Source organism: Homo sapiens, chromosome 14 (genome assembly GCF_000001405.40).
Source record: "Homo sapiens chromosome 14, GRCh38.p14 Primary Assembly".
NCBI classification, from domain to species: domain Eukaryota; kingdom Metazoa; phylum Chordata; class Mammalia; order Primates; family Hominidae; genus Homo; species Homo sapiens.
In genome coordinates, this window is record NC_000014.9 from 45,502,748 (window position 1) to 45,529,202 (window position 26,455).

The 26,455-nt window shown below is 36.3% G+C and overlaps 2 long non-coding RNA genes across 2 annotated transcripts in view; both read left to right on the forward strand.

The window, feature by feature from the left end:
- Window positions 1–26,455, forward strand: part of LOC105370476 (uncharacterized) — a 166,495-nt gene that overhangs the window by 99,395 nt on the left and 40,645 nt on the right. The window lies entirely within an intron of this gene.
- Window positions 6,504–14,247, forward strand: LOC124903308 (uncharacterized). Its single transcript, XR_007064138.1, has 2 exons — window positions 6,504–6,519; window positions 13,839–14,247. It is a non-coding gene; the product is annotated as an uncharacterized LOC124903308 (long non-coding RNA).

Sequence of the window (26,455 nt, forward strand, 5' to 3'; positions counted from 1 at the left end):
TAGAAAGAGGAGTTTCTGTTCCCAAATCTGGGAGTGTTCTTTGTGAGGGTGGAATGGAATCTCTGTGACAGGGGACTAGATGAAGGACTCTTGAGAAGCTGATGTTCAGGAATGGTCACAGGTCCCAGTAAACTCACTTTAATATCTGATGTCTGTGGTGTTGAAAAGGTGTTTGGGGTCAATGTTTTCTTGCTCCACCATCATGAACTGACTCCAGTACACCAGGGGCAGGGAAAGCAGGCGCTTGATCACCTTGAGTTGACACTTGATGTCCTGTAACATTGTCACTGGGTCTGGACTGGGCACAGCATGGGCCACTACTGTAGGGCCAAAGACTTTAACCAGATTGGCAACATCCATTTTAGTATGTGAAATCTGAGCCACACTCTGCACCAACCTAGGACAACAAGGCAACTCTTTTGCTTCTCCAATGCTCAAGTGAAGTCACATCTGCCTATTACTTCCCAGCATTGACTGACTATAAGAAAGAACATACCTGTACTCTCTGCTCTGCAGCCTCCTGTACTCATTACTACTTTTAGCGTTCTCCAGGCTTTTAATCAACTTTAATTGTGCATGAGGGTTTTAATAAAACTACATATATCTCCCCTTCCTTCTCCTTGAGTCACATAATATCAGTACCTTGTGCTGGTCATTGTTGGGAACTTTTAGATGAGAGATCTTTCCAGGAGTAGAAGGGTTAGTATGGAATTGGTTGTGATTCTTTTTGGGGAAGGGGGTTATTATCCCTTTGGCTTAAAGCCAAATGCTGCTCATGGAATGAATGGTCTTTCTCTAGTTTCATTTAGAACTAATTTCCATGAGACAGTGACAGAAACGGTACCTATCTGATAAGATTGGCTTATCTCACGGTGGAAAGTGGGAGGGCAGGGCAAAGAAAGGATTAGACCAGAGGATTTAGGATGCCTCCTTCTAAGAACCGGAAGTTCTCATTCCCCATTATGAACTGAGCTATAACATGGAACTTTCATAAAAATGGGATACATTGAGGACAGAACTAGTGATGGGAGTGTGTGTAGCTTTAATTTGGATGATTAGGTCTTAATAGTGTTGAGTGGCACAACCTTGTAAATGTGAAAGTACAACTTGTATTTATCTCTAATGTGCTGCTGGCTGAACTTTGGGTTCATTTGGGATCAAAGCCAGTTTTTCTTTTAAAATTGAATTCATTCTGATGCTTGACTCCCATACCCCCAACCTTGTCCAGTGGAGCCAAACTTCTAAAGGTCAATATGTCGTCCTTTGGCATCCCAATTAACAATAAAGAGTAGGCTATAAGAGAAAATTGTCAATATTTTGTGTGGTAAGAAAAGCCATAGTCATTTTTTCTTTGAACTTTGGATGCTGAAAATTTCCCATGGAACATAGACACATCTAGATAGATGTGAGCTTTTTCGTCTGTTAAAATTTTTCTTAATGTCTGTAAAAATGACTTTCTTTTATAGAATGTTTGACTTCTTGTTGACACTTATCTGTAAAACACCTATTTGGGATAATATTTGGAAAAAAGTAAATAGCTCTTTCAAGATGAAAAAAAGGAGTTTCTATTTCTAATGAACTAGTACAGGTTAAAAAATGTTGATAAGTTAAAAACTGAACTAATGAAAAACTTTGGGGACAAAAATATATCAGATGTCAGACACAGACAGTCTTATGGGGTCATAAGATTTAAAAACATAGAAATTTGAGATGATTATCTAGTGGTACAAATGTGGGAACCAGGGATAACATTCTGCTTTGAATGAGAATTAGTAAGCTCAAGGATTTCTAGACCAGGAAGTAATAACACCTGCCTTTTTGATATAGGAGTCTTTCTAAGGCTATGACACAGAGAAAAACACGTGACTTAGACTGTGGGAAATGCAAGACATGAAATTTGCTTGGAGGAAAGTGGAAGGTACTCTATTTGTAACAGAGAGTGGAAGCCACTAGTGTGCCAAGAAACTTATAACTTACAAATTAAGTTGTCCATATATGAAGTAGACATCAAAGGATAAAATAAAGCCTTGGTGTAAATCCTGAATCCTATCGTCACCATTGTGAATTTCTACAAAATTTAAATAAGATACAAATGTTTAGATTTTATTCCTCCAGAGAAGAGGAAAGATGGCAGGAGGATTTTCTCCCTTTGGATGTGGAGCACCAGTGTCACAATTACTTTCTTGAGAGGATACTTCTCCCAATTGCATTTACATCACAGGTCATGGGCATTAAATACTGACAAGAATTCACCAGCTTTCTGGCAAGACTGAAAGAAGAAAATGATTTTTTCTTTTATGTTCTGTTTTATTTTTCTACACTTCAGTAACAACTATTCCCCAATAACACAAGGTGTCTGCTGTCTGATTTATTTGAGCAGCAAAGCAACATGGGTCTCTTTGTAATATATGCTTTGTTCTAATAGTATTATTTTTGGAGATAGATGTGTTAGCAGTAAGATACTGAATTTTCTTAGATTAGGCTTTAATGTTATGGAAAAAAGCAAGGGAATGCTAGATTAATATACTTGCTTCTTGGAGTATAGGGAAAATTTAAAAACTGGTAGGAAAAATAAGTACAATCTTGTGATTTAGGATTCTAAAAGCAAATCGTTGCTATGAGGGATAAAAGGTTCAAAAAATATATTTTTGCTTTAAATTCCTGAAAAAATATAAAGAAAGGGAAAAAGAGAAGACCTATGGAAGTTATTATAACTGTACTAGATAATCTTTGATACAAATCTAATACATACACGTGTGCACATGGAAGAAAAGGCTTATGAATAAAGAGGAAACATAAAAGTTGTTTTTTTTTTAGAGTAGCTAGAGCTCAGAATAAACTAAAGTTCACAGAATTGCTAAAGAAATATTAAACTTCTAAGTTCTATTTTGAAGAGCATGGGGCAAGACAACACTTCTTTTTTTTAATTATACTTTAAGTTTTAGGGTACATGTGCACAACGTGCAGGTTTGTTACGTATGTATATATGTGCCATGTTGGTGTGCTGCACCCATTAACTCGTCATTTACATTAGGTATATCTCCTAATGCTATCCCTCCCCCCTCCTCCCACCCCTTCTGCCGAACATTATGTAATACTCATAGATGAGTTAGAATAGAGTGATTCAATTCTAATTGAACTTTCGTTTTACATGAAGAGGAGAAATCTTAAAATTGGAAAGGGCAGATCATAGTGTGTCATGCAGAAACTGAAATCTCAGGAAGGTGAGGAAATAGGGAGCATACACTTTCTTTCAGTAAGTTCGGGTCTGTAGGCCCCGAGGAAGTACATCCTAGAGATCTGAAAGGATTTTAAGATCATGACTCACCCCAATTACCAATTCTCTGTTGTTCTTCATTTTGTGAGAAATAAAATGGGAAACAAATTATGAATAAATGTTTTCCTGGCTTTCTAAAAGGTGAACACTGGATTTTGTAATCTATGATAGGTGAGCTTGACATGGATGGTTATCATGATAAAATAGATATTAAAATAATTAGTTTGAACAGTTAGAAGGAAGTGATGAACAGTCATGAGTTTTCCAAGAACAATTTATTTTACAAATTTGTTCAGTTTTTTGTTCATTTATTCTCAGCACATGGTTACTGAATATCAGACTGTCCCAGGCATTGTTTTGGATGCTGTTGGGAGAGAAGGGAAGAGACAAGTGGGTAAACACAATAAACAGATAAAATAATGAGTCAGGAAGATAATCACATATTATGGTACATATTATGAAGAAAATAAGCTGGGTAGAGAATACATTCACTTGGTGAGAGGATAAGATAGGGTGTTTAGATAATGACTTTTTTTTTTTTTTTTTTTTTTTTGAGACAGAGTCTTGCTCTGTTGCCCAGGCTGGAGTGCAGTGGCGCAATCTCGGCTCACTGCAACATTTGCCTCCTGGGTTCAAGCGATTCTCCTGCCTCAGCCTCCCGAGTAGCTGGGACTACAGGTGAGCACCACCATGCCTGGGTAATTTTTGTATTTTTAGTAGAGACAGGTTTTCACCATGTTGGCCAGGTTGGTCCTGAACCTTTTTTTTTTTTTTTTTTTTTGAGGTGGAGTCTTGCTCTGTTGTCCAGGCTGAAGTGCAATGGTGCATCTTGGCTCACTGCAGCCTCTGCCTCTCGGGTTCAAGCGATCTGCCCACCTTGGTCTCCCAAAGTGCTGGGATTAGAGGTGTGAGCCACCACACCTGACCCAGGAAATCACTTTCTAAGGAGATAAATTTGAGCTGATCTAAGAGAATGAGAAGGAGCAAACCATGCAATGACAAAGGGAATTTGAATTTTATTCCAAGAGGTGTGGGAAGCCATGAATGTTTCCAGTAGGAGAGTGATATGACATGATTTATATAACATTTTGTATAGAATAAATTCCAAGGTAGGTCTGGGGAAGAATGGAGGCAGGAAAACTAGATAGAAGGTCATTATAAAGACTTATGTGAGAAGTGATGGTGGTTTAGACTAAGGTAATGGCAGTGTAGAGAAAAAAGTGATGACTTAAACATATATATTGGAGATAGAACAAAGAAGTTCAGATGATTGATAGGAGATAAAGAAATCAAGGGTAGCTCTTAGTCTTTTGGCCTGAGGAACTAGTTGAACAATGATGCCATTTCCCATGATGGAGGAAGACAGGTAGAATCAGGTTTGTTGGGTACAGGAGGCAAGAGAGGACTCAAGAGTTGGATAATGTTTAAGTTAGAGTAGCCCATTAAACATTTAGGTAGAGATATCAAGTGGGCAGTTGTATATAGGAGTCTGAAACTCAGGAGAAAGTTCAAGACTAAAGATGTATATTTGGAGTACAAATGGAACATATATTTGGGAGCATATAAGATGTGTTTAAGGAAATGGCACTCAATGAGGACACCCATGAGTGTGAGAAATTAGACAAGAGAGCTCAGGATGTATCCAGTTTTTAGAAGTTGGGGAATGAGGACACTAAAAAGGTACAGCTGGAAAGGAACAGGCAAATCAGGAAAGGTGGAGGCATGGAAGCTAAGAGAAGGGTGTTTATCAAGAGGAAGGCATAGTCAGTTGTCAATGGCTGCTGATATACTGAGTAAGAATACAGGGAAAAATCCATCATTGTTTCCACTTAGGCTGTGGATCTCATCTCCTTTTGCTGTTCAGGGCCCTCTCTTATGCATTATGAGTTTCTGTCAGAATCCTAATCATTCAAACATGCCATAATATCAGCCACCAACAAGAAGAAAGAATATCCCTGAAATGCTTGTTCTTCTCAGCTACTTCCATTTATCACTGATTCTTTTTATAGCATATTTTATTAGAATTAATTGCACAATTGGTCCTTCATTCCCATTATTCTATTGAACTGGCTATTATTATGGTCAAATGACTTACACTTCGGCATATAGATTGAAGAATTCTGTCTTTATTTAAAGTGAAACTCGCAACAATGTTCAATGTACTTTCTTAAAACATTTCTCTTTGCTTTCTTAATACCATGTTATCCAGGTTTTTCTCCTATCTCATTGGTTTTTACTCTTTTTATCTTTTGCTGGTATCTTCTCCTCTTTCTCATCTCTAAATTTGGAGTGCTTAAGGGATAAATCCTGGGCGTTTGTCCTTAAATATCACCTATAATACTAAATATGTATCTTTAACCCTAACTTTTTTGCTAAACTCCAGAATCAATTTTCTTTAACATTTAAACCTAGATTTCCAACCGTTATCTCAAAATTATCATGTCCAAAACAGAGCACTTAACTTACTGGCTTTCCAAATCTGCATAAAAACTTGTCTTCATTGGGCTTTCCCATTTCAATTAAAATCTCCACCATTCATCTCTTTGATTAAGCCAAAAATTTTAGAGTTATTTCCAATTCATCAGTAAGGTATGTTGGCTCTTCTTCAAAATATTCCCTGAATTTTATCATTTACAAATTATTTCTATTTTATAAATTTGTACAAGCTAAGCTTATGTTCTCATATGCCTAGACCATATCTTCCTGTTTTATCATTTTTGCTCTTGTATCACTATTCTCTATTTCTCTCAAAGTAACCAGGTTGGACTTCTAAAAGGAAAAATCAGATCATGTAACTTTCTTGGTCTAACACTAGGACAATCATATGTTCTGTTTGCTCTCTACAGTCCCAGTTTATCACTTTTATCCTGGTGTAATTATCAATAGTGTTCTTTTCACTCTTAAAATAATCATGTTTTAGACAATAAGATATATGGTCACCCTACTTAAAACCATCTAATGACTGTGCGTTACAAATAGGATAAAACCCGCCCTTCTTACTATGGCCCATAAGATCATATATGTCCTTGCATGCCTTTCTGTGCTCTCCTCTTACAGTTTCCTGTGTGGTTCACTACATTTACATTTCTTCTATTAATAACATTTGTTTTTTTTTCCTAGCTGTTTTCCCTGCCTGAGATGTTCTTCCTCCAGATCATCAGGTGGACAACTCCTTCTCATCATTTTGGGCTCAGGTCTAGTTTTTCCTCCTCAAAGAGAATTTCTGTGATCATTTAATCTAAGTTAGTGTCTTCCATTTACTTTCTATCCCCACACTGTTTTTTTAATACTTTTAAGTTCTGGGGTGCATGTGCAGGGCGTGCAGTTTTGTTACATAGGTATACACGTGCCATGGTGGTTTGCCGTACCCATCAACCCGTCATCACCTACATTAGGTATTTCTCCTAATGCTATCCCTCCCCTAGACGCCCACCCCCTGACAGGCCCCAGTGTGTGATATTCCCCTCCCTATGTCCATGCCCCACACTGTTTTTGTTTTATATTTTTTCTCATAGTACTTACCATTGCACAAAATTATTTACTTACACTTAAAGTCTGTCTCGCCTCTAAGAATGTATGTTCCATGAAGTCAGTGGCTTTCCTTTGTTCACTGCTGTATTCCCAGTTCTTAGAATAGTTCTTAGAATATTGCGTACTTGGTAGGTGCGCAGTACATTTTTAAATAAATGAATGAACGCAGAAGTTATTAGAGACCCTGATAAAAGTAGTTCAAATGGCGTAAGGGGGAAAACTTTTCACTGTAAAGTGAATAAGAGGCAAGGAATTGAAAGCATTGAGTTTAGACAATTCTTTCTACAAGTATCGTAAGTCCCAGTTATATATGCAAGTCACAATGTTAGGAGATTTGGGGACTAAAAACAGTTGATAACATGGTTCTTATGCTCAGGATTTTTTGTTAGGAATTAGAGGATCAATAGACATAAGTACAGGGTAAGTCACTGTACTTATTATTCTTAATAAGTACTTAATACAGGTATATTATTCTTAATAAGTACTTAATACAGGTAAGTCACTGTATTATTCTCTTTTCACTATTAATATGCTTATGAGATTGATAAAGAATGCCTAACAATAGGTGTACTGTACCTTTATATTATTAGGGCACTTGACAAAGTATCTTATGATCTTTGTGCCAATAAAATAGCAAAATGTAGGCTGAATGAGAAGGCAAGATTAAGAGGCAGCTGAAAGCTTGTCCTCAGAAGATTGGTTAGCCAGAGTGGTGTCAATTTAAATCCAGCTCTTAAGTAGAGCAGGCTTTGGAAATATATACCTGAATTTATCTTAGTGAATAATTGTATCCTGCAAAGTGAGAGTAACCAGCAATATTTTGGGATACAGAGAGTTTATGCACTATGCTTTTCTCCCAGAAAGCACAGGAAAAATCCCCAAACCTAAGAGTTATATTTACAGGCTTTTAAAAGTCATCCTCTGCTATCATGGATCTAACTCTTAAATTTTTCACTGACAGAACACCTACTATAAATAACTGGGAGATAAACTCTGATTATAGCTTCCATTTAATTAACATCCACTCCTAACAGAACTTATTATTTGCTCATGAAACTGAAATTTACTATGGTATAGAAAAACTAATGTCTCATATGTATTTCGGCCCAAAGGAGAAGAAATGTGGAAGTGGGAAGTTAATGAAGAAAATGGATGTGCATCAAGGTAGAAAGAAAATGCTCACTTTTGTAAATAGGGTTTTACTTTACGGCCATGGTTCTTAACCAGGAGAAATTGTGCTTTCCAGGGGACATTTGACAATATGTGGAGATATTTTTGATTGTCATGACAGGTGATGGATTTCTACTGTCATCTAGTAGGTAGAGCTGGGGATGCTGTTAACCCTTCTGCAGTGCACAAGATAGCTCCCCAAAACAAACAGCTATCTGATCCAAAATGTTAATAGTACCAAGGTAGAGAAACGCTTCTTTAGAAAGAGCCTCTTACATTTTGGTGTGCATCAGAATCACCTGGAGAGTTTGTTAAAACATATTCCTATGTGGGGGTCTAGAGTCAGAATTAGAGTTTCTGATTCAGGATGTCTGGATGGGACCTGAAAATATAACACATCCTAGAAACACTGATGTTGCTGCTCTGAAGATCACACCACTGCTCTAGGGCCAGTATTTTTATTGTATTTATTTATTTATTTATTTATTTTGAGATGGAGTTTCGCTCTTGTTTCCTAGGCTGGAGTGCAATGGCACGATCATGGCTCACTGCAACTCTGCCTCCCAGGTTCAAGCAATTCTCCTGCCTCAGCCTCCCGAGTAGCTGGGATTACAGGCATGCGCCACCACATCCGGCTAATTTTTGTATTTTTAGTAGAGACAGGATTTCACCATGTTGGACAGGCTGGTCTTGAACTGCTGACCTCAGGTGATCCACCTGCCTTGGCCTCCTGAAGTGCTGGGATTACAGGCGTGAGCCACTATGCCTGGTGAGCCAGTATTTTTAAAAGCAATTTTTAAAACTGCTGAAATAAAAAATAAAAATTGAAAATAAAAACTACCAATGTTTTCATGATACAGAACAGTTTCATCACTACAAAAAATTTTCCTGAGTAATGCATTTGTAGTCACATCTTCCTTCTACCCCTAATCTCTGGCTAATCACTGATTTATTTATGATCACTATCTGTCTTCCTGAGAATATTAAGTAAATGGAAGCATGCAGTATGTAACCTTTTGAGAAATCTTTGGTTTCTTCCACTTAGGCTTATGCCTTTGCGATTCAGTCAAGTTATTCTGTGAATCAGTATTTTTTTAAATTGCAGAATAGTATTCCATTGTATGGATACATCACAGGTGTTTTGTTTGTTTCTTTGTTTAATCCAGTCACCTGTGATGGGCTTTTGGTTTGCTCCCAGATTTTTGTGGTTATAAATAGAATTGCTATAAGCATTCCAGTGGTACAGGTTTTTGTGTGAACATAAGTTTTCATTTCTCTAAGGTAAATACTCAAGATAAGTATTGTTGGGCACATGATAAATGTTTATTTATTAGAAACCGTAAAACTGTTTCAAGAGTGGCTATACCATGTAACGTCCCCAAAAGCTATGTATGAGAATTCCAATTGCTTTGGATCCATCTCGGCACTTGGTATTGTCAGTAATTTTTATTTTAGCCATTCTAATACATAAGTAATGATATCTTAGCATGGTTTAATTTTCATTTTCCAAATGGCTAATGATGTTGAACATTTTTTCATGTGTTTATTTGCCATCTCTGTGTCCTTTTCCATGACATGCCTGTTCAAGTTTTTTTTTTGCCCATTTTAAAGACTGGATTATTTGTTTTCTTACAGTTGAGCTGTGAGAATTTTTAATATATGTTCTGAAATATACATACATATATATATATATCCTTTGTTGGATATGATTTGCAAATATATTCTCTAGTCTTTTGCTTGTCTTTTCATTACCTTAATTGTGTCTTTTGCAGATAAAAATTTTTACTTTTTTTTCTATGAATTGTGGTTTTGGTATGATGTCTAAGAGCTCGCTAGTTGTTTTCTATTTGTTCCAACTGTTCCTTTTCTTTACCCTCCTTCGCTATCTACTCATGGATTATTTGAGTACTGTTTATGCTTCCATTTTATCTCCATTATTGACTTACTAGTTATACCTCTATTCTTAATTTTTAGTTGGATGCCCTAGAGTTTAAAATATACATTGTTAATTTATCACATTTTAAGTTTATCATAGACTAATATACAATTTCATGAGGAGTATAAAAATCTTAGAACTGTATACTTCCCATTTGTTTCTCTCATTCTTTGTACTATAGTTGTCATGTATTTTATTTTACATGTTCTAAGTTCAGAATATATTGTCTAAAGCAAAAATACTATTATCCATTAAAGTGATTGAGAATAAGAAAAAAGTATCTTTTAAAATTATCCTTTATTTTTGCTAATTTGAGAACTCTTAATTTCTTTTAGTAGCTTCAAGTTTCAATCATTTCTTTTATAAAAAGAATTAATATTCTGAAAAATAAAGGAGGAGGGAATACGTCCAAACTCGTTCTACAAGGCCAGTATTACCCTGATACCAAAACCAGACAAAGACACATCAGAAAAACAAAACTATAGGCCAATATTCCTTATGAATATTGATGTAAAATTCTCAACCAAATACTAGTAAACTGAATTCAACAGCACATTAAAAAGATTATTCATCATGGCCACATCAGATTTGTCCCAGGGATGCAAGGATGGTTCAACATTCACAGATAAATTAATGTAATACATTATATCAACAGAATGAAGGACAAAAACCATATGATCATTTTATTTGCTGCTGAGAAAGCATTTGATGAAATTCAATATCCCTTCATGATAAAAAAAAAATCCTTAAAAAAACTGGATGTAGAAGGAACATACCTCAACACAATAAAAGCCATATATGACAGACCCAGAGCTAGTATTATATTGAATGAAGAAAAACTGAAAGCCTTTCCTCTAAGATTAGGACCACAACAAGGATGCCCACTTTCACCGCTGTTATTTGACATAGTACTGGAAGTTCTAGCTAGAGCAATCAGACAAGAGAAGGAAATAAAGGGCATCCAAATAGGAATGAAAAAAGTCAAATTATCCTTGCTTTCAGGTGGTATGGTCTTACATTTGGAAAAATCTAAAGACTCCACCAAAAAATCTACTAGAACTGATAAAAAAATCAGTAGTTGCAGGATACAAAATCAACATACGAGAAACAATAACATGTCCATACTCCAACAGTGAACAATCTGAAAAAAAATCAAGAAAGTAATCCCATTTACAATAGCATAAAATAAAATAAAATAAAATACCCAAGAATAAACTTACCCAAAGAAGTGAAAGATCTCTATAATGAAAACTATAAAACATCGATGCAAGAAATTGAAGAGGGCACAAAATAAAATGGAAAGATATTCCATGTTCATGGATTGGAGAAATCAATATTGTTAAAATGTCCATACCATCTAAAGCAATCTACAAATTTAATGCAATGCATATGAAAATAGCAATGACATTCTTCACAAAAATAGAAAAATTAATCCTAAAATGTATGCAGAACCACAAAAGCTCCAGAATAGCCAAAGGTAATCTTGAGCAAAAGGAATAAAACTAGAAGAATTACATTACCTGACTTTAAATTATACTACAGAGCTATAGTAACCAAAATGGCACTATACTGGCATAAAAACAGACACATAGATCAGTTGAACAAAATAGAGAACTCAGAGATAAATTCATAGACCTACAGTGAACTCATTTTTGATAAAAAGGCCAAGAATACACATTGGGGAAAGGACAGTCTCTTAAATAAATGGTGCTGGAGAAGCTGGATATCCATATGAGAAGAATAAAACTAGACTGCTATTGCTCACCATATACAAAAATCAAATCAAAATGTGTTAAAGACCTAAATCTAAGACCTCAAGCTATGAAATGTCTAAGTAAAAACATTGAGGAAACTCTCCAGGAAATTGGATGGGGCAAAGATTTCTTGAGTAATACCCCACAAACACAAGCAACCAAAGCAAAAATTGACAAATGGAGTCACATCAAGCTAAAAAGCTTCTGCACAGCAACATAAATAATTAACAAAGTAAAGAGACAACCTGAAGAATTGGAGAAAATATTTGAGAACTACCCATCTGACAAGAGATTAATAACCAGAATATATAAGAAGCACAAACCAACTCTATAGGAAAAAATCTAATAATTCAATTAAAAAATGGACAGAGGATATGAATAGACATTTCTCAAAAGAAGACATGCAAATGGCAAACAGGTATATAAAAAGCTGTACAAAATCATTGAGCATCAGAGAAATGTAAATCAAAACTACAATGAGATATCCTCTTACCCCAGTTAAAATGGCTTATATTCAAAGACAGACAATAAAAAATGCTGGAGAGGATGTGGAGCAAAGGCAGCCCTCATACACTGTTGGTAGGAATGTAAATTAGTACAGCCACTATGGAGAACAGTTTGGAGGTTCCTAAAAAATAAACTAAAAATAGAGCTACCATACAGTCCAGCAATCCCACTCCTAGGTATATACCCAAAAGAAAGGAAATCAGTATATCGAAAAGATAGCTGCATTACCATGTTTATTGCAGCATTATTCACAATAGCTAAGATTTGGAAGCAACCTAAGTGTCTATAAACAGATGAATGAATAAAGAAAATGTGGTACTTACAAACAATGTAATATTTTTCAGCCACAAAATAGAATGAGATTCTGTCATTGGCAACAGCATAGAAGTAACTGGAGATCATTATGTAAAGTGAAATAAGCCAGGCACAGAAATACAAACATTGCATGTTCTCACTTATTTGTGGGAGCTAAAAATTAAAACAATTGAACTCATGGAGATAGAGAATGGGAGGACAGCTACCAGAGGCTGGGAAGGGTAGTGGGGGGAAGGAGGAATTTGGGATGTTTAAGGGGTTCAAAAAAAGTTAGAAAGAGTGAATAAGACCTAGTATTTGATAGCGTAACAGGGTGACTATAGTAAAAAATAATTTAACTGTACATTTTAAAATAATTAAAAGAGTATATTTGGGTTGTTTCTAACACAAAGGATAAATGCTTGAGATGATGAAGATCCATTGTACCCTGATGTGATTATTACACATTGTATGCCTGTATCAAAATATCTCATGTATCCCATAAATATATACACCTACTATGTACCCACAAAATTTTTTTTGTTATACTTTAAGTTTTAGGGTACATGTGCACAACGTGCAGGTTTGTTACATATGTATACATGTGCCATGTTGGAAACCATCATTCTCAGCAAACTATCGCAAGGACAAAAAAACAAACACTGCATGTTCTCACTCATAGGTGGGAATTGAACAATGAGAACACATGGACACAGGAAGGGGAACATCACACACCGGGGCCTGTGGTGGGGTGGGGAGAGGGGGGAGGGATAGCATTAGCAGATATGCCTAATGTTAAATGACGAGTTAATGGGTGCAGCACACCAACATGTACCCACAAAATTCAAAAATTTAAAAAGTGCACAAAGGACGTGAACAGACGTTTTTCAAAAGAAGACATACAAATGGTCAAGTATATAAACAATGCTCAACATCACTAATCATCAAAGAACTATAAATTAAAACCATTATAAGATATCATCTTATACCAGTCAGGGTGGCTTTTATTAAAAAGATAAAAAATAACATTTTGGCAAGGATGTGTAGAAAAGGGATCACTTATACACTGTTGATGGGAATGTAAATTAGTATAACCTCTATGGAAAATAGTGTATTGATTACTCAATGAACTGAAAATAGGACTACCATTTGATCTGGCAATTCCAGTGCTTGGTTTCAACCCAAAGGAAAAGAAATCATTATATCTTTTTGATACCTGGCCTTTCTTGTTATTGCAGCACTATTCACTATGACAAAGAAAGGGAATCAACCGAAGTGTCCATCAATGGATGAATGTATAAAGAAAATGTGGTAGATATATACAATGAAATACTATTTAGACATAAAAATGAAATCATGTCTTTTGCAGAGACATGGATGAAACTGAAGACCATTATCTTAAGTGAAACAACTCAGACAAATATCATGTGGAAACTCACTGGGCTGATGAATGCAGTCTTCCTGATGTGAATGGGATTGAAGAGCTTGTCAAAAAACATAAAGCCAACTTCACCCTTGTCACTGAACTGAGACTTTTCAACCAAACCTGTTACACAGAAAAGAAAATACCGAAAGAATATTCATCAATCTGTAAATAGTGATTATCTGTGGGGTATGTGTGGAAAATTATAGGAGACTTAAATATTCTACATGATAGATTTTTATAATAGTTTATTTTTATAATTAGTGTGTTATGTTTGTAATTATAAATCAACAACAGCAAAATATAATTTAAAGGCTCAGAGTTTTAATAAAATATTTAGAATTGGATAAATTCATCTATGTGGCTTTAAAAGTAAAGTTTAAGATCTCTGTTGGTTATTTGGCCCTCTGGTTCTAATCTTTCCATTTTGGTAATATGTCCTGTAAAGATTAATCTCTTTCATTTTCACAACACATATTTGTTAAGCACTTACACTATTCCAGACACTGTTCCAGGTATTGAGATTGCAAGAGATGATTCTTGACATGCTAGAATAGTGCTTCAATATGGGAGATAGGAAAAAAAGAATTAAAATGTCGTGCATAATTATGTTAGGGGAATCTTGGGAATAGTACTTAGGAAAATCTTGCAGACAATTCTTGGGAAAACTACCCACTATTGCCCAGGGTGTCAAGCATAGCTTTCTAGCAGAAAGGTTTTTTTTTCTTTTGGTTTTTTTTTTTTTTTTTTGAGACAGAGTCTCCCTCTCTTGCCCAGGCTAGAGTGCAGTGGCGCGATCTCGGCTCACTGCAAGCTCCGCCTCCCGGGTTCACTCCATTCTCCTGCCTCAGCCTCCCAAGTAGCTGGAACTACAGGCGCCCACCACCATGCCCAGCTAATTTTTTGTATTTTTAGTAGAGATGGGGTTTCACCGTCTTAGCCAGGATGGTCTCGATCTCCTGACCTTGTGATCGGCCTGCCTCGGCCTCCCAGAGTGCTGGGATTACAGGCGTGAGCCACTGCGCCTGGCCCAGAAAGGTTTTTTAAGCCGAGGCCTAAAGGATGAAGATAGTTTAGCAAGGTGAAAGGTGGATATGAACAGGGAGAAGAGTGTTTTGAGGCAGAGAGAACAGTATGTATACAATCCCAAAGGAGAATGCAGCAACTTCAGAGAGTTGAAGACAACTCAGAATTGCTGAAATATAGATTGTGGAGTAGCAAAGTGGTGAGACAAGGAAAGGTCAGTGACAGCCTGATGGGCCTTATAAAGCATAAGTTATTTGATTATTTGATAATCATGTTTTTGTATTAAAAGTCACTATTGGTATTGATTAGTAAATAGATTGGATTGGGGCAAGATTAGAGTTAGCATACCAATTAGCATACCAATTCAGTCAAGAGATGGTGGTGGTTTAAATAAAGATAAAACAGTGGAAATGGAAAACATTAGATGAATTTGGAAGGTCATTTTAAATTTATCGTAGCTACATTAGGGTGATGAAAGACAACAAGGTAGGAAAGATGGCACCCTCAGTTTCTGGGCTAGGCAACTGCAAGGAAAGTGGTCTGAGTCACTGAGACCGAGGTAACCTGAAGCTGCAGCAGGTTTTTGAGGAGATGATTTCATGTGGGACATTCTGTATGTGAAGTGCAAATAGCCCAGTGAAATGTAGATGTATATGGCAAAGGGGTCTGAGCCCAAGAGCTAGATGTGGGTAGAGTTGTGAATATAGGAAGAGTAAGTACATATGTAGCAATTGAAGTCACAGAAGGGAGCTCTGGACAGATGTCTCAGGAAATACAGGAAATACTGACATCCAGGAGAGATACGGAGGCTGAGGAGCCAGGAAAGCGGATGGAGATGGAATGGGCAGATAGCAGAGGAGCAACAAGGAGAAAGATCTGTGAAGAAAAATGCCCAAGGAGGCACAGAACATGGAGAGAGTCTTCAGATCGACATGCATATCTAATTGCTATGCAGGAGAGAGGAAAAGAAGCATTTAAAAAGGGAAAAACATAGTAATCTGAAGTATTAGCTACTTGAATCATGTGAAATTGCCAATATTTTACCATATTTGACCAAATAACCAGTAATTTCACATTATTCAAGTTAATACATTATATTAGAGACCATCACATTTGGTAAGGCTTTTTATTGCTTTGTTAAACTCTTGTTTTATTCTAGATTAAAAAACAAAAAAACTATGCTTCATGATCAAAAGAATTTGAAACTCACTGTACTAGACTGTCCTCATTCTCTTGCTGAGTCACAACACCGTGTTCTAGAGCACACACCTACCTATGTGTTGGGGGACAAAGCCTAAGGACACAGTCTAAGGCTGGACAATAATCTAGACTTCAACTTCATTGGAGTTTTTTACATTTATTTATCCTAAGACTTATACATTGTATTTTCTTTTTCTTTATTCTCTCCTTCTCTTCCTTATTACCTTCTCCTTTCTCTTCTCCTCATCCCGTTTCTCCCCCTTCTACACATTGTTCCTTTGCTCTTTGACTTAACTTTAAATAAATGAAATCATCACAACGTGCTATGGAGTGATTTTTTTTTCTTGATTAGTGAAATTGTCAGGCATCTTACTTAAATTATTTCATTTTTACTTACTTCTATTTGTTTTTGTTGCTTCCTATGCTTGGACACTTTGGGAAATATTTCTGAGTTCATGATTTGTAAAAATGTTTTAGAATACTTGGGAAAATTGAGATGCTACTGTATCATATATTTGTTTATTACTTTAATTAACTTTTACTTTGGGACGGTGAGAAGTGTTTTCATTTGTAGATGAGGAAACTAAAGTACAAAAAGATGACATGAATCTGCTTCACTTTTTGCTAAGTGAGAAATGTGGCAGTGTCTCTTTTGTATTAAAAAGACTCCCCCGTACTAATGATGGTGAATGGTATTAAGTTGAATATGCATTTGACTCCTTCTGGAAAAGCTTTTAAGACTGTCTCTTTGGATTCAGATACCAATGATTCCACTCAACCTCTATTCTTCTTAGTCTCTTAATCATTTCACCTTGATTTTATACCACATATTCTCTTCACTTCAAAACCAAAATATCCCAATGAACTGCCTAGCAATTTGAGGGTTTTATTTATTTGTTTATTTATTAGCCAGGATAAATTTTCTCCATTCATCAGGCCTTTGCATATCTTATCATGAAGTCTTTACATTATGAAATAGAATGCTCAAGCAGATGCTTTTAGAAAGCTGCTTGCCTCAGACTGTGTGCTTTTATATCTCTTTAACAACTAGACATGAATTGCTGTCACCAGGCATTAAGGCAGCTACAATATTGCCTGTCATTAATAGTCTCTGTTACTCTGCCGTCATAATTGGTGACCTTAGCTTGGCCCTCTGCTATGAATGAGAATTTCTGTTAAGAGGGAATATTAATGAAACAAAGTTAAATTCCTCAGCAGTTTTCAATTGGAATTGAAGTCTCCATTTAATTCTTGAAAGAGAATGGCTTTGAATCTATAAATATTGCTATTATGACTTCAAAATGATAGGCAAGATGCATGAAAATCATTATGCACAGAAGCCTTTCTTTTTGAGGATGTTGATATAGGTATTTTGTTCACTTTATAAAGTTCTTTGAAGATTAAAACATTTATTCTGAAGTACTGGTATAAATATAAAGGATAATTTACCCAAAGTAGGTATCAGCTAAAGAATTACTTAGTGAAAGGCACAAGGAGAAGTGCATTCTAAATCACTAGGTACTCCGCTAATTTTAAATTAAAAACTAGGCCAGATCATTATTTCTTTACATGCACAAACACTGAAGCATAGAGCATATTCTATGCTGTTTTTGAATGTAGGATTTTATGTTTTACTAAATGTCCCAGAGACACCATGTGCATATATTATCAACTTATATTTTTATAGTGGAAATGAACTAAGGGTTGAGTGACATGTTAATTGAACTGGGTCGTGCATCAGGACAATCATATAAATGACTGCCATGCTGATAGAAATATGACTGGCTTTGGAGACTTCATAGTTGTGATTTATTTATTTATTTATTTATTTATTTATTTATTTATTTTTTGAGATGGAGTCTCACTCTTGTCACAAGGCTGGAGTGCAGTGGCATGATCTTGGCTCACTGCAACCTCCACCTCCCTGGTTCAAGCAATTCTCCTGCCTCAGCCTCCCGAGTAGCTGAGACTACAGGCGCACGCCACCACACCCAGCTAATTTTTATATTTTTAGTAGAGACAGCGTTTCACCATGTTGGCCAGGATGATCTCGATCTGTTGACCTCGTGATGCGCCTGCCTCAGCCTCCCAAAGTGCTGGGATTACAGGCATGAGCCACCGCATAGTTGTGATATTTTAAAAGTACTCTGTAACCATTTTTAGGGCCATATATAAATGTAGAATTTAAAATTTTACCTTTTACTCATATTATACTGTCTTGTGGGACACCTGACATCATCATTGAATCTAAAAACTGGATAAAATCTTCTCAATGATATATTCTAATCACTTCATTTTTAAAAATGAGAACCTTATTTTGAAATTTTAGCTAATTTCTAGCTATTCAATTTAATGATAATAATTTAATTTATTGCTTCAAATAGAAGTTTTGCTTTTGATATTATTTCCTTGCATTAAATCTGTCTACTGCTGTATTTCCTAGGTTTGAAGGACATTACTTTTTCACTTATCTTCTTTTTAAGGATATTCACTAGGCTAGCAAAGGTTAGTAGCAAGAGGTATTATGCAACTCATCTGGCATTTTGAGTCTCATTTAGTACCTCAATATGACTTTATTACTTCTGAACACTGCTATGGAATGGAATATTCTTAGAGCTTTTTGAAATGGCATTAGGGCTCTCTGTCTCTCTGAATATTTATACATAGCTCCATGAGATGATAGATAAAAAATTGGCTGGTATTACTATGCCAGTTCAAATGATAGAAAGATGACAAGATTAAATATTTATGTGCACTTAAGGAATTTGTACAAAATAACACAGATAACACCTATTCCTAAAATAGGATCCTAGTTTTCACCTAGTAGAGATGTTGCGCCTATGAGCTATAATCCTAAAATCTTGTATTAAGGCTGGATCTGACCAGAGGATCCAAAAGCTTCCCTTCTCACTGCATTGCCTTCCTTCTGGTTTTTTTTTTTTTTTTTTTTTTAAGTGGAGAGCTTATTTGTGAGTTGAATAAAATTTTCCTTCATAGTTGTGGGATAAAGCAATAGGCTTAAATGTGAGATAGTGGGGAACAGAGGATTTTAAAATGAAGAGAAATTGGCTAGAAGATTTGATTTGGCTATCTAACATAATTCATTCTCTTAGAAGTTGACTGGGATAAAGTTTCAGAAACAGTTATCTAGGTCAATTAGTTAGATATTTGTATTTACTTTTCCGGCAAGAAAACTCTCATTCCCAACCCCAGTTAAGAGGATGGTGGCTTCAGAAGAATACAACATAAACATTAATTCTACAAGATAAAAACTTAAAAGACATGTCAAGCTACATAATTATCAGAGCAGCTCAAATAATTTGGCAATCATCTTGTAACCATAGGACTATTTTCCTCCCCTCAATCTGGCAGGTGTAAGGAGAGCCAAGGAAAAAATTAAAGAAACCTTAGCAAGGTTATTTGATGTCTGACCTTCTTGCTCAGACTCTATGACACCCCCTTAGAAACTGGATTATCATGGGGATTTCTTTTCTGGATAGATAGTCTAGGTAGCTGTAGTTCAGTCTGAATGTGAAAACTCAATGTTTAATCTCCTGTTAAGATAAGAGTCAAGTTAGGCAGTTTCAGTAAAACATTTCATTTGGTTTCAAGGTATAAGCACTTTTGATATAAACTTTGCTCTGTGAAAAAGATGCACATTAATAACTAACAAGATTATTGTAAGCTTAAAAAATTTGGAATATTCAGACATAAACCAAACTGAAATTTATTTTTTGATTATCTGTGAAAGTTGGAATAAACAAATTAATAATATAAATAAAGATGTAGGGAATTTTTTATTATATATTTTAAGATGTACACATGTAGTTTTGATATACATAGTGAAATAATGCTATTGTTGAGCAAACGAATCAATCTATCACCTTCTATAGTTACCTTTTATGTGTGTGGTAAGAGCATCTAAAATCTACTCTCTTAGCAAATTTTCAGTATATAATAGAATATTATTAACTATAGTCCTCATGCTGTCCCTTAAATCCCTAGACTTATTTGTCCTACATAATTGAAAATTTGTATCTTTGACCTGTTTATCCCTATTTCCTCCTTTTCTATACCATAATAACCACCATTCTACTCTGTTTTTATGTGTCCAGCTTTTTAAAATTTCTACACATAAGTGAGATCATGCAGTAGTTTTCTTTCTGTATGTGGCTTATTTCACTTAGCATAATGTCCTCTAGGCTCATCCATGTTGTTACATATGGCAGTATCTTCTTTTTAAAAGCTGAATAACAGTTCATATATCTCAACTTCTTTATCAGTTTTTCTATTTCATTGGTGGACACTTAGCTTGTTTCCATATCTTAGCTACTTTGAGTAACACTGCAAGAAAGATGGGAGTGCAGATATCTCTATGGCATGCTGATTTCATTTTCTTGGGTATACACCCAGCAGAGGGATTGTAGGGTCATATGATAGTTCTATTTTTAGTTTTTTGCAGACAGTCCATACTGTTTTCTACAATGGTCATAATAATTTACATTCTCACCAATAGTACACAAGGGTTCCACTTTCTCCACACCCTTGCTGACACTTATCTTGTCTTTTTAGTGATACCCATTCTAACAGGTGTGAGGTAATACATCGCTGTGGTTTTTATTTACATTTCCCTGATGATTAGTGATGTTGAGCACTTTTTATAAACCTGTGGGCTATTTGTGTGTCTTCCTTGGAGATATGTCTATTTGGGTCCTTAGCCCATTTTTAAATAGAATTAATTGTTTTTTGCTGTTGTGTGAATTCTTTATATAATTTGAATATTCACCCCTTATTAGATATATGGTTTGCAAATATTTTCTCACAATCTGAAAGCTGCCTTTTCATTCTGTTGTTTCCTTTGCTTTTCAGTTTGATATAATCTCACTTGTTTATTTTTGTTATGATTGCCTGGAATTTTGGTGTGATTTCCAAAAAATCATTGCCAAGGCCAATATCAAGGAGCTTTTTCCATTATGCTTTCTTCTGGGAGTTTTAGGGCTTCAGGTCTTATGTTTAGGTCTTTAATCTGTTTTTGAGTTGATTTTTGTGTATAGCATAAGATAAGGTCCAGTTTCATTCTTTTGCATGTGGAAATCCAGTTTCTCCAGTACCATTTACTGAAGAGGCTGTCCTTTCCCCATTGTGTCTTCTTGGTGGCCTTGTCAAAAATTAGTTGACTGTATATGCTTGGGTTCATTTCTGAACTCTATCCTATTCTATTGATCTATGTATTTGTTTTTAAGCCAGCACCATAATGTTTTGATTACTATAGATTTGTAATATGATTTGAAATTAGGAAGTGCGATACCTCCAAATTTGTTTTTCTTAAGATTGTTCTGGATACTTGGGGTCTTTTATGGTTCCATACAAGTTTTAGGATTTTTTTCTATTTCTGTGAAAAGGTTATTGAAATTTTGATGGGGTATAGGGATTGCATTGAATCTATAGATTGCTTCAGGTAATATGAGCATTTTGACAAAATTAATTCTTCCAATCTATACACATGAGATAGCTTTCCATTTATTTGTTTCTTCTTCAATTTCTTTTATTAGTGTATTATAGTTTTCATTACACAGATCTTTCACTTCCTTGCTTAAACTTATTTCCTAAATTCTTTAATCTTTTTGATGCTATTGTAATTAGGATTGTTTTCTTGATTGCTTTCTCGGGTAGAATAATACTGGTGTAAAGAAATGTAAAAATTTTTTTGGTGTTAATTTTGTGTCCTGCTACTCTACTGAATTCATTTATTCCAAAAGTTTTGCTGTGGGTGGCATCTTTGGGCTTTTCTATGTATAGGATCATATCACCTGCAAATAGGGATAAGCTTACTCCTTTCTGATTTGGATTTATATTATTTCTTTTTCTTGTCTAATTGTTCTTGCTAGTTCTTCCAGTACTATATTGAATAGAAGTGGCAAGAGGGACATTCTTGCCTTGTACTGGGTCTTAGAGTAAAAGCTTTCAGTTTTTCCCATTCATTATGATATTACATGTAAGCTTCTTATTAATGACCTTTATTAGGTTGAAGCACTTTTCTTCTATACCTATTTTGTTGAGGGTTTCTATCATAAAGGTTTGTTGAACTTTGTCAAATGCTTTTTATGCATCTATTCAGATGATCGTGTGGTTTTTGTCTTTCTTTTTGTTAAAGTGGTATATCACATTGATTGATTTGCATATGTTAAACCAACCTTGCATCCCATGGATAAGTCTCATTTGATCATGTATATAATCTTTTTGATGTGTTGTTGAATTTAGTTGGCTAGTATTTTATTGAGGATTTTTGCGTCAATGTTCATTAGAGATATTGGCCTGAAGGTTTTTTTCTTGTGGTATCTTTGCCTGGCTTTGGTTTTAGGGTGATGCTGCCTTCATAAAATGAATTTGGAAATATACCCTCTACTTCTATTTTTTGAAGAGATTAAGAAGTATTGGTATGAATTCTTCCTTGAATTTTGGTAGAATTCAGCTGTGAAGCCATCTGGCCCTGGGCTTTTCTTTGTTGAAAGGCTTTTGATTACTACTTCATCTCTATTTGTTATTGGTCTGTTCAGGCTTTCTGTTTCTCCTTGATTTAGTCTAGATGAGTTGTATGCTTCTAGGAATTTATCTATTTCCTATAGGTTACCCAATTTGTTGGACTATAATTGTTCATAATAGTCCCTTATGATCCTTTTTATTTCTGAGGCATCTGTTGTAATGTCTCCTCTCTCATTTCTGATTTTACTTATTTGAGTCTTCTCTCTTTTTTCTTTCTTTTAGTCTACCTAATGGTTTGTTGATTTAGTGTGTATATATATATATACTTTTTTTTAAAAAAACTCACTTTTGAATTTTTTCTGTAGTCTTTGTTTTCTCTATTTGTTTTTTCTCTGATTATAATTATTTCCTTCCTTTTGCTTACTTTGAGTTTAATGTTTTGTTTGCTTTTTAGTTCCTTGAGGTATACAATTAGTTTGTTTCTTTGAGATGTTTTTCTTTTTAGATGTAAGCATTTATTGGTATAAATCTTTCTCTAATAACTGCCTTTGCTGCATCCCCAAAATTTTGGAAAGTTGCGTTTTTGTTTTGGTTTGATTACAGATATTTTAAAAATTCCCCAGTTGATTTTCTAATTGACCCAATGGTTGTTTGAATGTCTTACTTAATTTTCATATATTTGTCAATTTTCTTGCTGTTACAATTTCTAGTTTCATTCCATTGTGATTGGAAAAGATACTTGGTATAATTTTATTATCTTAGATTTTTAAGACTATTCCATGTCCTCTGATCCAGGAGGCCTTAGGTAACTCTCCTGCAGCCTCTGTTGCCCTGTGACCTGCAGGTACTGGAAGATCCATAGGGAGAATGATAGGACACCTGGAAGCTGGGAAATGGTACAGGGAGATTCATACTATGAAGTCAGGACACCTCAGAATCTGGGAAATGTTTCTAGTTTAAGAGTGATTTGATTGACTGTTTCCAAAATGGCCAACTAGATGCAGCCAGGAAGTGCTGCTCCTATAGAGAGAGAACACAATTTCAACTACACCAACATAATTTGAACAGATCTTTGGAGAGATAACACTGAATGTGGATGGAAAAAAATATGCAGCTGTTAAGGCTGAAGAGGGAGGAAGTTGGGAATCCCAGGTGGAGTGCCTGAATGCTATGGCCCGTCCCCTGTCCTGAATGAAACCTGGGAGAAGGGGTGAGTGAAGGGACTGAGGGTCTGCTCATTCCCATCATTGACCTCTGGGGTTCTAGCTGCAAGGGACACCACACCCACACTGACTTGTGAGCTGGCAGGGGCATCTCCCTGGAGATTAGACAGAGATGAAGCTGTAGTAGGCACAGAGCCAGGAATATTGGAACATGGGTCAGCTCTGGTAAAGCCTGGACATACGTGCCCAACGCCAGGGCTACCAGCCTCCCTCAGAGAGGCTATGGCTCCAGCTAACTGCTGGGGACAAAGCAGAGCCTGCTTCCCTGCAGGATTGGAGCACATCTGTCCTGCAGGCCCGATGACGGCCCGCCAGCCCTTCCCAGGGCTCCTGCCTCGCTGTGGGGTAGAAGCATGTACACAGCGCAGCCTCCTGCCCAGCCTTGGTGCTTTGCACCACCTGAGTGCATTCCCGCAGCATGGGAGCCCTTCAGATCCCACACTGCACCTGAAACTCAACCCAGTGCATCTGGAGGAAGGAGCCCAAGTGGGTCCTGTAGCCTCAGAACTGCAGCCTGTGGTTCAGGAGTGCCAACCTGGGATCTGCACTTGGCAGTTGAATGGGGGAGGAGACTACACTTTCAGAAATCTGAGATGGCTGAGTCACACAGGTTTGCAAACTGATATGGGACCTAGCCATGCCTCCCTCCACAGAGTTGGTATGGTAAGGGTGTGGTGTATTTCCCTACCAGACCTCTGCCCAAGGGAGACCAGCGACCCCAAAGACATAAGAACAACAGTAGCAACATGACGGGCATAGTGCCAGTGATTGGAGGTGGCCGCCTTAAGTCCCAGAGTAGACCTGGCGAGGGTGTCATCTGTCTCCCCTTCAAACCGCATGACACAGCTACAAACACCAGAGGAGCCAAATGGCTGAATAGGAGCCTATTGTCCATTGCTCTCAAGCACCATCTACTGGATTGCCGCCCAAACTACAACACACACAAAAAAATCACTTTACTAATTCTCCTTCCTACAAAACCAAGAACATAAATTCTACCACAAAGACCCTGTACAGAGTCTTAATTCCCTGAAAACGTCCACAAATGAAGCCAACAGACTATACGCAATTTACACCACAATTAAAAGAATACCAGCCCTCCAAATGAGAAATAATCAGCATAAGAACTTTAGCAATGGCAGGGTGCAGTGGCTCACGCCTGTAATCCCAACACTTTGGGAGGCCAAGGCGGGTGGATCACCTGAGGTCAGGAATTCGAGGCCCAGCCTGGCCAACATGGTGAAACCCCATCTCTACCAAAAATACAAAAAATTAGCCGGCTTTGTGACAGGTGCCTGTAATCCCAGCTACTCAGGAGGCTGAGGCAGGAGCATCACTTGAACCCGGGAGTCGGAGGTTGCAGTGAGCCGAGATCGCGTTATTGCACTCCAGCCCGGGTGACAAGAGTGAAACTCCGTCTCAAAAAAAAAAAAAAAATACCCAATTGAACTTCCTGAGTGGAAAAATTTCAGAATACAATCAGAAGTATCAGCAGAATAGACCAAGCTGAGGAAAGAATCTCAGAGCTCAAAGACCGGTTCTTTGAATCAACTCAGACAAAAATTAAGAAAAATGAATAAAACCTCCAGAAATTTGAAATTATGTAAAGAGACCAAATCTACAACTCATTGGCATTCCTGAGGCAGAAGGAGAGATAATAAGCAACTTGGAAAATATATTTGAGAATATAGTCCATGAAAATTTTCATAATCTTGTAAGAGAGTTCAACATGCAAATCCAAGAAATACAGAGAACCAGAATCTCTGAGATGGAGCCAAAGCAGTGTTAAGAGAAACATTTATAGCCCTAAATGCCTTCATAAAGACATTAGAAACATGTGAAATTAACAATCTAACTTTTCACCTAAAGGAACTATGGAAAAAAAAGAACAAACCAACTCCAAAGCTAGCAGAAGAAAAGAAATAACTAAAATTAGAGAAGACCTTAATGAAATTGAGATGCAAAAATCCATACAAAAGATCAGTGAAACCAAGAGTTGGTTCTTTGAAAAAATAATTCAAATTGATAGAACCCTATTTAGATTAACAAAGAAAAAGAAAGAGTAAATCCAAATAAGCACAATGAGAAATGACAAAGATGATATTACAACTGATCCCACAGAAATACGGAAGATCCTCAGAGACTACTGTGAACAAGTTTATGCACACGTATCAATAATAGAAAATCTAGAAGAAATGGATAAATTCCTGGAAGTGCACAGTCTCCCAAAATGGAATCAGGAAGGGATTGAAATCCGAATAGACCATTATCTATTTTTGAAATTCAATTAGCAACAAAGAACGTACCAACCAAAAAAAGCCCTGGGCCAGATGGATGGATTCATAGTTAAATTCTACCACACCTACAAAGAACTGATACCCATCCTGCTGAAACTGTTCAAAAAATTAAAAGTGAGCAGTTCCCTCATAACTCATTCTATGAAGCCAGCATCAGCTTGATACCAAAGTCTGGCAAAGACACAATGAAGAAAGAAAACTTCAGACCCGTTTTCCTCATGAACATAAATGCAAAAATCCTTAGCAAATCAAATCCAGCAGCACATCAAAAAGTTAATACACCATGATCAAGCAGGCTTTATTCCTGGAATGCAAGGCTGGGTCAACATCACCA